The following is a 14,605-nucleotide window of genomic DNA, read 5'->3' on the forward strand; positions in this document are numbered from 1 at the left end:
GTGACGGGTGCCTGTAGTCCCAGCTACTTGGGAGGCTAAGGCAGGAGAATGGCGTGAACCCGGGGGAGGCAGAGCTTGCAGTGAGCCGAGATCACGCCACTGCACTGCAGCCTAGGTGACAGAACAACACTCCATCTCCAATAAATAAATAAATAAATAAATAAGATACAAAAAAGAATATAGTACGTTACCTTTTTTTAAAAACAAGAATATGAAGGAGAATATATATATATATATATATATATATATATATATATATGTATATATACATATCTCCACATTTCTGTGTAGAGAATTTCTGAGTAAGATACACATTATAAGAATGTGCATCAAATTTCTTGACAGATACACAATAAACTAGTAACAATGGTTGTCCCCAAGAATGGAAAGTGGGTGACTGGGAAATAAGGGAGGGAAGGATACCTCATTGTATATCTTTTGTGGCATTTAAATTTTAAAACATACGAGCATATTTCTTATTCAAAAAATAAAATGTAAGTTAAAATAACATCTTAAGACACAAAACAAAAACTACTGCTCTTTGGACAGATGAATCAATTTTGACTTTCAAATTACTAACTTAGAAATAAACAAAAAGTTTTGTTGCCACAATGGTGGAGAAACCATTACTGGACTTGCCTACCCACCTCAAAAATACAGTTTTTCAGTTACATAAATGAAACAACTGCTTTCAGACAATAGACAACAAGCAGTGAAGGACTATGATTTAAGAAAAAAGGAAGGTGCAACAATGAGAAAGAACTCCAGAAATCTGCACAGGCGTTCACCTGTAGTCTGTGGCTCAATACTATCGTGGATGCATAAAGAGAGACTCCACAAAGGTGGGCCCAAAAACAACTATTAAGGAGCTGTTAGTTGACCAATTACTGGATCTTACAAGAGACAGGGATACATCGAAGTTGTGATCAAGCACAGAAGACAGACTTTGTTGTCATTTAATAGAGAACCCAGAAAAGCCACTCCTTGGAAATAGGAACAAACTATTCCTAGAATAAAGGCTACTTCAAACCTATCCTAATAAAGCTTAAAAACAAGGCTGGGCCCTCGGAGCCCAGCGCCGCCACCATGTCCTCTGGGGCTAGCGCGAGCGCCCTGCAGTGCCTGGTGGAGCAGCTCAAGTTGGAGGCTGGCGTGGAGAGGATCAATGTCTCTCAGGCAGCCGCAGAGCTTCAACAGTACTGTATGCAGAATGCCTGCAAGGATGCCCTGCTGGTGGGTGTTCTAGCTGGAAGTAACCCCTTCTGGGAACCCAGATCCTGTGCTTTACTCTGAAGACTCTAAGAGAGAAGTTTGCTGAGGAATGCCTTCAAGCACAAAGTGATGAATGACTGCCTTCAAGTCTCAAGAAAACACTTTTCCCTAACTTTTAGAGATATTTCAGCCCTTTCCTGTGGCCCCGTCCTATAGCCAAAATCACAGAAATTCATGAGTTTCTACTTGAGTGAGGAAACTGGGTGAAGGAATAGAGTTTTAAATAGTAATAGCTTGTTTTTTTGTGCAAGTACTTTTATACATAAGATAAACAAAAACCTTACCACCAAACATACCAAAATGCACCTCTTTCATAAGTGAGTTACTAAGATTTCTATACCTGGAATATCATGTATGTTTCATTTACTGGATGTTTACATTTTAGGAAGGAAAATAGTTTTGTTTATTTAAACAATCGAATACTTGTAAACTGTTGTTCCTGGAAGATATTTATACCATAAAAAATTTGTTCTTTTCTCATGAATTTACAATTCCTAAATGAAGACCAGAAAGTACAAATTGCTGGGAGGAAGAATAGGCTTTACTAATCAACTGATGTCTTGATTTTTCTAAATGGGAAGATTGTTTTATTTTTAACACTAATTATGGGAGCAGATTCTTAGCAAACTTGTTTGGAAAAGTTAATGTTATGATGTGCATTAGGCTGCCCCATCGTGTATATAAATGAAGCAGATTTGGTCTTTGTATTCTTACGTTCCTCTACTTTGTAGCTGTGGCTGTACTTAAAGAAATACAGAATTTCATATATTTAAAAATGTTTAAAATGTGACCCACAGAACATTGTAAATGATTAAAAACTAACATAAAAACATTACAACCTAAAAGAATTCTTAACTTCACAAGGGTTTTACTTTGATGATGTGAATCTGATTTAATTTGGGACACTTTTTTAGAAGGATACATTATTTGTGTTTGTAACAGTCTTTGAAGAGCTTGGAAATAAAATTTCTGCTTAATTAATCATAAAAAAAAAAAAGGCTCAAAAGGGTCAAGCTGATCCACAAGTTACTCAACTATCTAACAAACAAAACTCCATACTTTTTAAAAAAAAAATACGAACAGTTAAACTGTGGTATATCCATACAATAGGATAGAATTTAGTAATAAAAAGGAACAAACTATTGATAAACACAACAATTTGTACAAACTTCAAAAAAATTATGCTGAGTGGAAAAGTCAATCTCAAAGATACTACTTGCATAATACGATTCATGCGACAATCATGAAATAATCTAATTATGGAGATGGAGAACCAATTAATGGTTGTTTAGGATTATAGATGGGGGAGGGGATGAATGTGGCCATAAAGGGATAGCACAAGGGAGTCTGGTGATGCTACCATTGAGTATCTTTGATTGTAGGGATAATTACACAAGACTACCCATGTGACAAAATTGCACAGAATTATGCACAGGCACACACACATGCACGTACATGTAAAACTGATGAAACCCAAATAAACTCTATGCATTGTACCAATATCAATCTTGGTTTTGATGTTGTAATATAGTTATATAAATTGTGAACACTGAGGGAGACTGGGGGAAAGATGTCCAGGACTTCCCAGTAGAAGCTCCTGTGACTCTACAATTATTTTTAAATTAAAAGTTTTTTAAAAATCCAGACACAGGTGGGCACAGTGGCTCACACCTGTAGTCCCAGTATTTTGGGAGGGCAAGGTGGGAAGATTGCTTGAGCCCAGGAGTTTTCAATCAGCCTGGGCAATGTAGCAAGACTCCATCTCTAATTTTAAAAAAAACAAACAACGACAAAAAGACACTAAATATTAATCAAAATGTGAAATATCCAATTAAAAACCACAAACTATTAAAAAAAACAAGGGGTAAAAAAACCAAACCACTAACTATAAAGAAATGTGACAAAGAAGAAGAAAATTAGTCCCCCCCAAAAAAAGTGAGAATGAATGATAACGGAATTAGCAGACAAGGATTTAGTGATTTAGTGTCTATATATTGTAAATATGTTAAAGAATTATGGGGAAAATATAAGCACAATAAGGAGAAACCAAAAACTGTCGAAAGAGGGGAGGGAAGGGGAGGGACAGGGAAGAGAGGAGAGAGGGAAAGGAATGAGAGGGGAGGAAACTTCCAGAATTGGAAAATATAATTTCTAAAATGAAAAAAAAAATTATATATATATATATATATATCTCTCTCTCTCACTGGACTGACTTAAGAGCAGATGAGATACTGCAAGAAAGAATATCAGCGAACTTGAAGACAGGGTAACAAAAACTATCTAACTTGATGTACAGAGAGATAAAGAGTTTAAAAAAAAAAAACCCAGAGCCTCAGTAACCTATCAAACAGTAAATAAATAAAGAAGCGAGAGGAGACAGAAAAAAAAATTTGATAAAATGATAAAAAACTTCCAAACTGATAAAACTATAAACACAAGTCTAAGTAACTCAACAAACACCAAGAAAGATACACACAAAGAAAAACCCACAAAACACACCACAGTCACTGCTGAAAATCAGCGTTAAAGAGAAAATCTTAAAATCCATCAAAGAGACTGATTATATGCAGAGTGACTGCTGATTTAACATTAGAAATAATGCAAGCAGGCCGGGCGTGGTGGCTCACGCCTGTAATCCTAGCACTTTGGGAGGCCAAGGTGGGCAGATTGCCTTAGCTTAGGAGTTCGAGACCAGCCTGGGCAACATGGTGAAAGCCTGTCTCTACTAAAATACAAAAAATTAGCCGGGCATGGTGGTGTGCATCTGTAGTCCCAGCTACTCAGTAGGATGAGGCAGGAGAATTGCTTGAACCCAGGAGGCAGAGGTTGCAGTGAGCTGAGATCATGCCACTGCACTCCAACGTGGGCCACAGAGCAAGACTCTGTCTCCACAAAAATAATAATAATAATAATGCAAGCTAGAAATTATTGGAGTAACTTTTTTAATGCTGAAAGAAAAACAATGTCAATCCAAATTCTACAGCCAATAAAAAAGATCATTAAAAAATACATTGTCAATGAAGAATAAAAAAGAAAACATCATTCCAGTACTGCAGACATTGAGTGATAAAGTAATATTATGAGCATAATGAAAATAAATTCAATTACTTAGATAAAATAAACTCCTTAAAAGGTACAAATTATGAAAACTATCACAAAATATAGAAAATCTGAATAAGCCCCTATCTACTGAAGAAAATGAATTCATGATTTAAGGCCTTTCCACAAGAAAAATACCAGGGCCAGATGGTTCCCCTGATGTCCTATAAAACTATTTTAAGAAAACAGGAGGGAAGAGTACTCAACTCATTTTATGTGGCTCACTCTGATTCCAAAACCAAAGACAGACCCCCCCCAAAAAAAAAAAAAAAAGACTGATATTCCTTATGAACATAAACAAAAAAATCCAACCAAAAACTAGAAAACTGAACAAAGCAATAAATAAAAAGGACAATACATCATAAGCAAATGAAGTAATAAGAGGCTGGCTTAACATTCTAAAATCATCAATGTAATTCACCGCATTCAAAGGGGAGAAAAGCCACAAAATCATCTCATTAGGTACAGAAAAAGCATCTAACAAATTTCAGCACCTACTCATGATAAAATTCTCAGCAAACTAGGAAGAGACAGGAACTTCCTTAACCCGATAAAATGCAACTACAAACTCCAGTTAACATCATACTTAAAGATGAAAGACTGAATGCTTCTCTCCTAAGATTGGGAAGAAGGTAAAGATATTCACACTTGCCACTTTTATGCAACTCTGTAACATTAAGTATGATGTTACAGATACCACAACAAGCCAAGAAAAATAATCCTCTTTTAGTTGCTAATCCCCAGAAATGGTAATCTTTTGTGTTGTTTTACTGTATAAAAACAGCATATTCTTTATTTTACATACTTTCAGAACAAAATAAACAACAACAAAAAAACAGGATATACAACATCCAATTCTGCTGTCAAAGTAGAGAGGGAATGGGGCTTGATGCCCTTGTTTCCTGCCTTAGACACAAGGACAGAAGAGAAAAAATACTAGATATCAGCAGAGAGAGCCAGGTGGGACAGGACCACTCAAAGCTGCAGTGGGAGCCATGGGGACACTATGCAAGGGCACAAGGTTTGCAGGTATAAACTCTTAATCTACTTCTTCCATGTGAAACACATCCTCAGGAACACATCACATCAGGAACAGCAGCACTGAGTTCCTCTGTTGCCACTTCATCTTCATCAATAGCTAACCTAGCTTGATCATGTGGTAGATGCAGCTGGATAGGTCTGAGGATCCTCAAGGGAGAAGCCAGAAGAGAGCAGTGTGGTTTCAAACAGCAGCACCACCGGGTCACTGACAGCCTCGTTGTTCTTGTCTGCCTCAGCCTTCTGCTGTAGTGTCTCCACAATGGGGTGGTTGGGGTTGATCTCCAGGTGCTTTTTAGCCATCATATAACCCATCATAGAGTTGTCCCAAAATGCCTGCGCTTTCATGATCCACTTCATATTGGCTATCTAGCTGTAGGTGCTGGTCACAATGCGGCAGGGTGAAGACACAAGCCTACTGGAGATTGTCACCCGCTCAACCTTCTTATCTAAGATTTCTTTCATGAGCCTGCAGAGGTTCTCAAACTTTACGTTGCTCTCCTCCATTATCTTCTTCTCCTCCTCATCCTCAGGTAGCTCCAGACCCTCCTTGGTAACTGACAGCAGGCTCTTCCCATCAAATTCCTTGAGCTGCTGCACACAGTACTCATCAATGGGCTCACTCATATATATTACCTCGAAGCCCTTCTTCCACTCTTGCTCCACAAAAGCAGAGTTGGCTACCTGCTCTTTGCACTCACCAATGATGTCACAGATGGACTTCTGTGCCTCCTTCATGCAAGACACATACTCTGACAGAGATGTCATCTCATCTCCAGACTGGAAGGTGTGAGACCACAGCAGTTCAGACAGGTGTCGCCAGTTAATAGAGTCCTCATGGATTCCAAGCCACGAGATTTTAGAGAATACCTCATCTAATTTCTTGTTATTCTCCTTGTCTTCTGCCAGCCCAGAGAAGCTAAGCTCAAGCCACTTCTTCTTCTTTTTTTTTTTTTTTTTTTTTTTTTGAGACAGAGCCTTCTTCTGTCGCCCAGGCTTAGTGCAGTGGCATGATCTTGGCTCACTGCAACTTCCGCCTCCCAGGTTCAAGCAATTCTCCTGCCTCAGCCTCCCAAGTAGCTGGGATTACAGGCGTTGTGCCCAGCTAATTTTTGTATTTTTAGTAGAGACGGGCTTTCACCATGTTGACCAGGCTGGTCTTGAACTCCTGACCTCAGGTGATCTGCCCGCCTCAGCCTCCCAAAGTGCTAGGATTACAGGCGTGAGCCACCATGCCCAGCCGGCATTTCTTAACAATGTTTTTGCAAATGACTTCCAAGATTTTGCTCTGCTGGAGCATTTCCCGGGAGATGTTTGGGGAAAGATCCTTAAGAGTCAACCATACCACGGACAAAGCCGACATACTCTGGCATCAAATCATCAAAGCTGTCCATGATCCACACATGATGGACACAGAGTTGTTCATTTTCCTCTTGTTCTAAAAAAGGTCAAAGGGAGCCTGATGAGGGATGAACAGCAATGCCCTGAATTCCAAATGACCTTCTACAGGGAATTGCTTGACTGCCAAGTGGTCTTCCCAGGCACTGGTGAGGCTCTTGTAGAATTCTCCACACTCTTCCTGGGTGATGTCATCAGGGTTTCTGGTCCAAATCGGCTTGGTCTGGTTTAGTTCTTCCCGATCAGTGTATTTCTCCTTGATCTTCTTTGTTTTCTTCTTATTATTCTTATCAGTGTCATCCTCCTCATCGGAACCCACATCTTCAGTCTTGGGCTTTTCTTTATCATCTTTATCTTCCTCTTCTTTCTCACCTTTCTCTTCCTCATCATCACTGATTTCCTTCTCTGGTTCCTTCTCCAAATAAACGGCGATAAGACAGCCTATGAACTGAGGGTGCTTCTTCACTACTTCTTTGACCCACCTCTCTTCTAAGTACTCTGTCTGATCTTCTTTAAGGTGAAGGATCACTTTGGTATCCCTGTCAATGGGCTCACCATGGTCAACATGTAAAGTGAAGGAACTCCCAGCAGAAGATACCCAGGAATACTGTTCTTCGTCATTGTGCTTTGTGATGGCTACTTTCTCTGCCACCAGGTAGGCAGAATAAAAGCCAACACCAAATTGCCCAATCATGGAGATTTCTGCACAAGACTGAAAAGCCTCCATAAATGCTTCAGTACCAGACTTGGCAATGGCTCCCAAATTATTTATGAGATCAGCCTTGGTCATGCCAATGCCTGTGTTGACCAAAGTCAGGATGCATTCCCGAGGGTTGGGGATGATGTCAATTTTCAGTTCTTTACCACCGTCCAACTTGGAAGGGTCTGTCAGGCTCTCATAGCGAATCTTGTCTAAGGCATCAGAAGCATTAGAGATCAACTCCTGAAGGAAAATCTCCTTGTTGGAATAGAAGGTATTGATTATGAGAGACATGAGTTGGGCAATTTCTGCCTAAAAGGCAAAAGTCGCCACCTCCCCTTCTCCATGGTACACCTCTGCAGGCATCTTGAAAGGAAAAGGCTTACAAGTACTAGAGAGCAAGGTGGGCTGAGTGTCCAAAATGCACACGGCACCAAGGCTGCACAGGGGTGACTCAAGAGCTAATTCTTTATACTAAAATTTCATTCTTCAATTTACTGTATGGATTCTGCCTCGTAAATGGACCTTGCTTAGCACATGTACCATAAAGCTACAGTAACCAAACAGTGGCATAAAAATATAGACAGATCAATGAAATGAAAGACCTAAGAATATATAAATAGGTCTCAACATATATAGATCATGGCAATTCAAAGAATTGATAGGTTTTTCAAAAAGTGATGCTAAAAAATTTATATCCATGTGAAAAATATTACCCTTGACCCTTACCTCTATCATAAAGAAAAATTAAATTGAATTGCAATACAGACTTACATGTAAAACTGTAACTGGAAACATCTAGAAGAAAACTGTCATGGCCTTGGTAGTCAATGCTACCTTAAGAAACAAAAGCAAAAATCATAAAAGAAAAAAATTTTTTCATTAAAAGGGCTTCTTAAAAATTCAAAACTTCCGCTGAGAAATAGCTTTAAAAAAAAAAAAAAAGGCAAGCCACAGTCTGGGAGAAAACATTTGCAATACATATGGTCTGACAAAGAACTTATATTCGGAATATCTTTTTAAAAACCTCTTACAAATCAATAATAAGACAACCATTGAAAGACAAACAACAATGTGAAAAAATACTTCACAAAGAAGATACACAGGTGGCAAACAAGCATATGGAAACCTACATAACATCATTAGTCAACAAAGAAATGTAAATCAGAACTAGAATAATATATTATCACATACCCTTTGCTAGAATAACATCTCCAAATATTAGTAGGGTGTTGAGTACCTGGAACTCACACACTGCTGATGGGAATGGAAAATGACAACATCACTTTGGAAAACTGTTTAGCACTTTCTTACAAAGTCAAACATATAAAAACCAGGCCAGGCACAGTGGCTCATGCCTATAATCCCAGCACTCTGGGAGGCCGAGACAGGCAGATCACTGAAGGTGAGGAGTTCAAGACCAGCCTGGCCAGCATGTTTGAAACCCCGTCTGTACTAAACATACAACAATTAGCCAGGTGTGGTGGCAGGTGCCTGTAATCTCAGTGATTTGGGAGGCTGAGGCAAGAGAATTGCTTGAACCCAGGAGGAGGAGGTTGCAGTGAGCCGAGATCACGACACTGCACTCCAGCCTGGGAAACAGAACAACACTCCCTTTCAAAACAAAAACAAAAACAAACAAGGCCAGGCGAGTTGGCTAGTGCCTGTAATCCCAGTACTTTGGGAGGCTGAGGGAAACCCCATCTAAAACAAACAAACAAACAAAAAAAGCTTATGACCCAGCAATTCTACTCAAGAAAAAAGAAAACATAAAGCATATATCCACACAAATAACTGAACACAAATGTTAGCAGCAGCTTTATTTATAATAGCCAAAAACTGAACATAACCTAAATGTCTATCAACAAGTAAAGAGAAAGATGTATTCATATAATGGCAAACTACTCAGAAATTAAAAAAAAAAAAAAGCCAACTATTGAAAACACGCACTTTTGTTAAGACACAAAAGAATGCAGAGTCTAATTCCATTGATATGTAATTCTGGAACAGTCAAAATCTATCTAGTAGTGACAGGAAGCAAATCAGTAGTTGCCTAGGGTGGAGACTAAGAGTAAAAAGTAATGAGGGAATTTTGTGATACGACAGAAACATTCTTTATCTTGATTTCAATGGCAGTTGCCTAAGTATATACATTTGCCAAAATGCACCTCTAACTATATACCTAACATGAATATATTTTATGTAAGTAGGGGTCAGTAGCATACATTTACTAGCTTGAAAACTGTGTACATTTTTAAACATTGTCTATTTTCTCTTTTCCTTCATTTCACGTCAGTCTTGGCACCCTTTTAGTTTGAGGCTGTACTCACATTCCTCTTGCCAAATAACTCCCAGGGCTTCCCAGGTACAAGAACTCCAGGCTTTCTACTTAAAGCCTTAAGGACCCAAGCTACTGCTGTTAAGTAATCAACAAAGCCCAACACATCTTCTAAATGAGAACTCCACAAACTTAAAAATAGACTCTCCTGAACAAACAAGTATCCTGCCTCAACTTTTGCTGCCTATCATGTATTTTCATAAAATTACTTTTGCAAACTGATAGGAAATTCTAGGCCATATATGTGACTGTAAATACATAAATTATGTTTATAAAGGTACACACTATTTTGAAAAATCATTATCATATTTACACATTTACAGTTACTATAAAAACACTATCTCAAAACAGCATCGTCATTAAAATTTATTATTCAGCAAAATTGCACCCTGAAACCCCTGTTAAATGAAAGCACTAGTATTCTATATGGTAAAAAAAAATTGAGGGCAAAAGCTACAAAAAGATATTTAAGTTTTAATATAAGACCTGGCCAACAGAGCAAGACTTGTCTAAAAAAAAAAGAACGAACATTCTGGCCTGGCACGGTATTGGTGGTAATCCCAACATTTTGGGAGGCTGAGGCGGATAGATATTTGAGGTCAGGAGTTCAAGATCAGCCTGGCCAACGTGGTGAAACCCTGTCTCTATTACAAATATAAAAATTAAGCAGGGTGCGGTGGCTCACAATTGTTATCCCAGCACTTTGGGAGGCCGAGGCGGGTGGATCACCGGAGGTCAGGAGTTCAAGACCAGCCTGACCAACATGGTGAAACCCCATCTCTACTGAAATTACAAAATGAGCCGGTTGTGATGATACATGCCTGTAATCCCAGCTACTTGGGAAGCTGCGGCAGGAGAATCGCTTGAACCCAGGAGGCAGAGGTTAAGGTGAGCCAAGATTGCACCACTGCACTCCAGCCTGGGCAACAAGAGTGAGACTCCACCTCAAAAATTAAAATAAAAATACAAAAATTAGCCGGGCGGTAGTGGCACACGCTACTCCCAGCACTTCGAGAGGCTAAAATGGGAGAATCCTGAGCCCGGGAGGCAGAGGTTGCAGTGGGCCAAGATCACGCCACTGCACTCCAAGTCTGGGTGACAGAGTGAGACCCTGTCTCAAAAACAACAACAAAAAAAAACATTGTATGCTATACACCCTACCCAAAGAAATATTTATGTATCTATTAAGGTGTCTAAGTACAAGCTAGATAAACAACTTAGAAGGAAAACAGAAGTTAAGAACACTTGAAGTAGGCCCCTTACAGCCTTGATACTGATTTCTTTTTTTCTTTCTTTCTTTTTTTTTTTTTCCCAAGATGAGTCTCACTCTCTCTCGCCCAGACTAGAGTGCAATGCAGCGATCTCGGCTCACCGCAACCTCCGCCTCCCAGGTTCAAGTGATTCTTCCGCCTCAGCCTCCTGAGCAGCTGGGATTACAGGCATCTGCCATCATGACCAGCTAATTTTTGTACTTTTGTACAGATGCGGTTTCACCATGTTAGCCAGGCTAGTCTCGAACTCCTGACCTCAGGTGATCCACCCACTTCAGCCTGGGAAAGTGCTGGGATTACATGTGTGAGCCACCGCACCTGGCCAATATCGATTTCATAATAAGAAAATCATCTCATACTGACAAAGGGAGCTGCCTGGGGACCACACGATGATACTGCTCATGAACGGTCCCCTCCACTCCTTAGTCCTAAGCAGCTAGAGCACAGCACGTTTTGAGAGCCCAGCCCCAACAAGGCTGTACCCTGCCCTGGGGCCAAACAGCCCCGGCATCTCCATATCCCTGGAGTCCACTTACATCCCCACCTACAGCCACTGTTGTGATCCCATGCTGCCCCCAAGCCAAAGTGTAAACCACTGGCAGCAACCCCACTGCCCCCAGCAGCAGAGCTGCTATGCATTTTCATGTGCCCCAAGGAGGCCTAAGTTAGACTGTAAGACTCCCACCACCCAAAGCCACCACTCCTGCTGGCTGCTGCCACTGGTGCTAAACCACAAACTATTGGCAGTGACCCTGCTGCCCCAAGCAGTGGAGCTACTACACCTTTACAAGTGTCCTGAGGACAGACTACCCTGCCCACAGCTGCCACCTGGGGCCCAAAGACCCACTCATCAGCTGAATGTTTATGTCTGGTGCCACTGAAAGCAACCCTTCCCTCCCCAGTGGCAGGGCCCCACTCGAGCACTCCACTGGGGCCATGGGGATCACCCCACCCCTGCCTACCACAGCCAACACCCACACACATTACTAGTGGGCCTGAGGACAGGTCTACCCAGCCCCCTCCACCACCGTTAACATGTGAACACTTCTCCTAGGGGCCTGAGATTTAGCCCACTCAATCTGCCATTACATACCACAGCTGGTCCCCAACCACATGCACCACCTGCAGGCCTGGAGACTGGCCTGCCCAGCCCATTGCAGCCACTGCCATTATCAGCACAGACCACCTGGGAAACAGAGGGTTTTCCCACTATCAACCATGCCACATACGCTGCCCAGGAGCCTGAGAATCTGCCCACCCAACTGGCCAACCACTGCCCCTACCAACACCCAAGTAAGCCACCTGGAGGCCCAAGAATCAGCCCACCTGGACCTGCTAACACCAGTGCCAGCATATGTTGCCCTAAGGCCCAAGGACAGGCCCACTTGGTGAACCTGTCCCCAGCTAAGCCTCACCACAGACTCCACTAACAAACCAAACCCTACATCACTGAGAAAATCAGACACTATTAACGCTGTAAACAGCCGAATAATTTATACGGAGACTACACCACTGCATGCACCCAGATTCATGCCAAAATGCCCTACCCAATCAACATCATAAACACATCTTCAGGAAAAAGCCCTCGCCTCAGAAAGCGAATTCAAAAAACTGGGAAGAAGTGACTGTTATACCATATGCGCAATAAGGACCCAAGAAACATGATAAAGCAAGGAAATATGACCTAAATAATTCTGCAGCAATAGATTCCAATGAAAAAGAAATTTATGAGATCCCAGAAAAAGAATTCAAAATAATATTTAAAAAGCTAAGTGAGGTACAATATACAGACACAATACTAAGAAATCATAAAATTTAGAATACGAATGAGAAATTTACCAAAGACAGATATCATAGGGCTAGGCTCACATCTGTAATCCCAGCACTGTGGGAGGCTGAGGCAGGTGGATCGTTTCAACCCAGGAGTTTGAGACCAGCCTGGGCAACACGGCAAAACCCCATCTCTAAAAAAAAAAAAAAAAAAAATTAGCCCAGCATATTGGCGTGAACCTGTAGTCCCAACTACTCAGGTGGTTGAGGTGGGAGGATCGCTTCAGCCCAGAAGGCAGAGGTTGCAGTGAGCCAAGATCGCATCAATGTACTCTAGCCTGGGCAACAGAGTGAGACCTTGTCTCAAAAAAAAAAAAAAAAGATAGACAGATATCATAAAAAAGAACGAAATGCAACTACTGGAAGTAAAGAATTCATTGAATGAAATACAAAAATTATTTCAAAAGCTTCATCAATACACTAGATCAAGCAAAAGAAAGAATTTCACAACTTTAAGACAGGTATTTTGAAATAATCCAATAACATAAAAATAAAGAAGAATAAACACAGCATACATGACATGTAGACACTATAAAGTGACCAAATATTCAAATTTTCAGTGCCCCAGAAGGCAAAGAAAAAACAAAAGGGATAAAAAACCTATTTAACAAAATAAGAGCTGAAAACTTCCCAAATCTAGAAAGCAATTTTGACACCCAGATATAGGAACCTCAGAGACCTTCAAATAGATACAACTCGAAAAGGTCTCTGCCAAGGCACATTATAGTCAAACTGTGAAAAGTCAAAGACAAAGAGAGAATTCTAAAAACAATAACAGAAAAGCATCTCATCATTTACAAGGGAACTCCTATCAGACTAACAGCAGATTTCTCAGCAGAATCCTTACAGGCCAGGAGAAAATGGGATGATATATTCAAAGTGCTAAAAGAAAAAAATACCTGGCAGCCAAGATTACACCCAGGAAAACTTTCTTTCAGAAATGAGGGAGAAATAAAGTCCTTACTACACAAGCAAAAACAGGTAATTTGACACAACTAGACCAACTGTACAAGAAATGCTCAAAGGAATTCTGCATCTGGAAGCAAAAAGATGATGATCACCATCATGAAAACACACAGAAATATAAAGCTAACTGGTAGAGCAGATACACAAATGAGAAAAAGAAGTCAAATGTTACCACTAAAGAAAACCACCAAACCACAATGATAAACAATAAGAGAAAAAGAAAGGAACAAAGAATATACAGGCTGGGCACAGTGGCTCACATCTGTAATCCTAGCACTTTGGGAGGCCGAAACAGGCAGGTCACTTGAGGCCAGGAGTTTGAGACCAGGAGTTTGAGACCAGCCTGAGCAATGTGGCAAAACCCTATCTCTACAAAAAATTTTAAAAATTAGCCAAGCATGGTGGCGTACACCTTTAGTCCCAACTATGAAGGGCTGAGGTGGGAGGATCACCTGAGCCCAGGAGGTCAAGGCTGCAGTAAGCCATGTGTGATTGCACCACTGCACTCCAGCCTGAGCAACACAGTGAGAGCCCATCTCAAAAAAGCCAAAGAAAACCAAAAAATATACAAAACAACAAGAAATTAATAAAATGGCAGGAATAAGCGCTCACATACCAGTAATAACCTTAACTGTAAAAGGATGAAACTTTCCACTTAAAAGATAAAGATTGGCTAAATGGATAAAAGAAACA

General features: G+C 40.5%; 1 protein-coding gene and 2 pseudogenes across 3 annotated transcripts in view, besides 1 other annotated feature; 1 reads left to right on the plus strand and 2 right to left on the minus strand.

Moving 5' to 3' along the window:
* ADAM10 (ADAM metallopeptidase domain 10) overlaps positions 1-14,605 on the minus strand; it is a 160,899-nt gene that overhangs the window by 96,516 nt on the left and 49,778 nt on the right. The window lies entirely within an intron of this gene.
* Positions 923-1,105: a silencer, noted in NCBI's record as "fragment chr15:58978446-58978628 (GRCh37/hg19 assembly coordinates)". NCBI's record gives its function as "represses an EF-1alpha promoter that drives an FKBP-Casp9 reporter gene in an ReSE screen in K562 erythroleukemia cells {active_cell/tissue: K562}" and the evidence as "EXISTENCE:reporter gene assay evidence [ECO:0000049][PMID:32094911]".
* On the plus strand, positions 1,063-2,253 carry LOC100289060 (G protein subunit gamma 10 pseudogene; annotated as a pseudogene).
* Positions 5,149-8,283, minus strand: HSP90AB4P (heat shock protein 90 alpha family class B member 4, pseudogene; annotated as a pseudogene). The gene has a single exon (NR_073415.2). The product of NR_073415.2 is annotated as a heat shock protein 90 alpha family class B member 4, pseudogene (transcript).

The sequence above is a fragment of the Homo sapiens genome, chromosome 15, assembly GCF_000001405.40.
Source record: "Homo sapiens chromosome 15, GRCh38.p14 Primary Assembly".
Taxonomy (NCBI): Eukaryota; Metazoa; Chordata; class Mammalia; order Primates; family Hominidae; genus Homo; species Homo sapiens.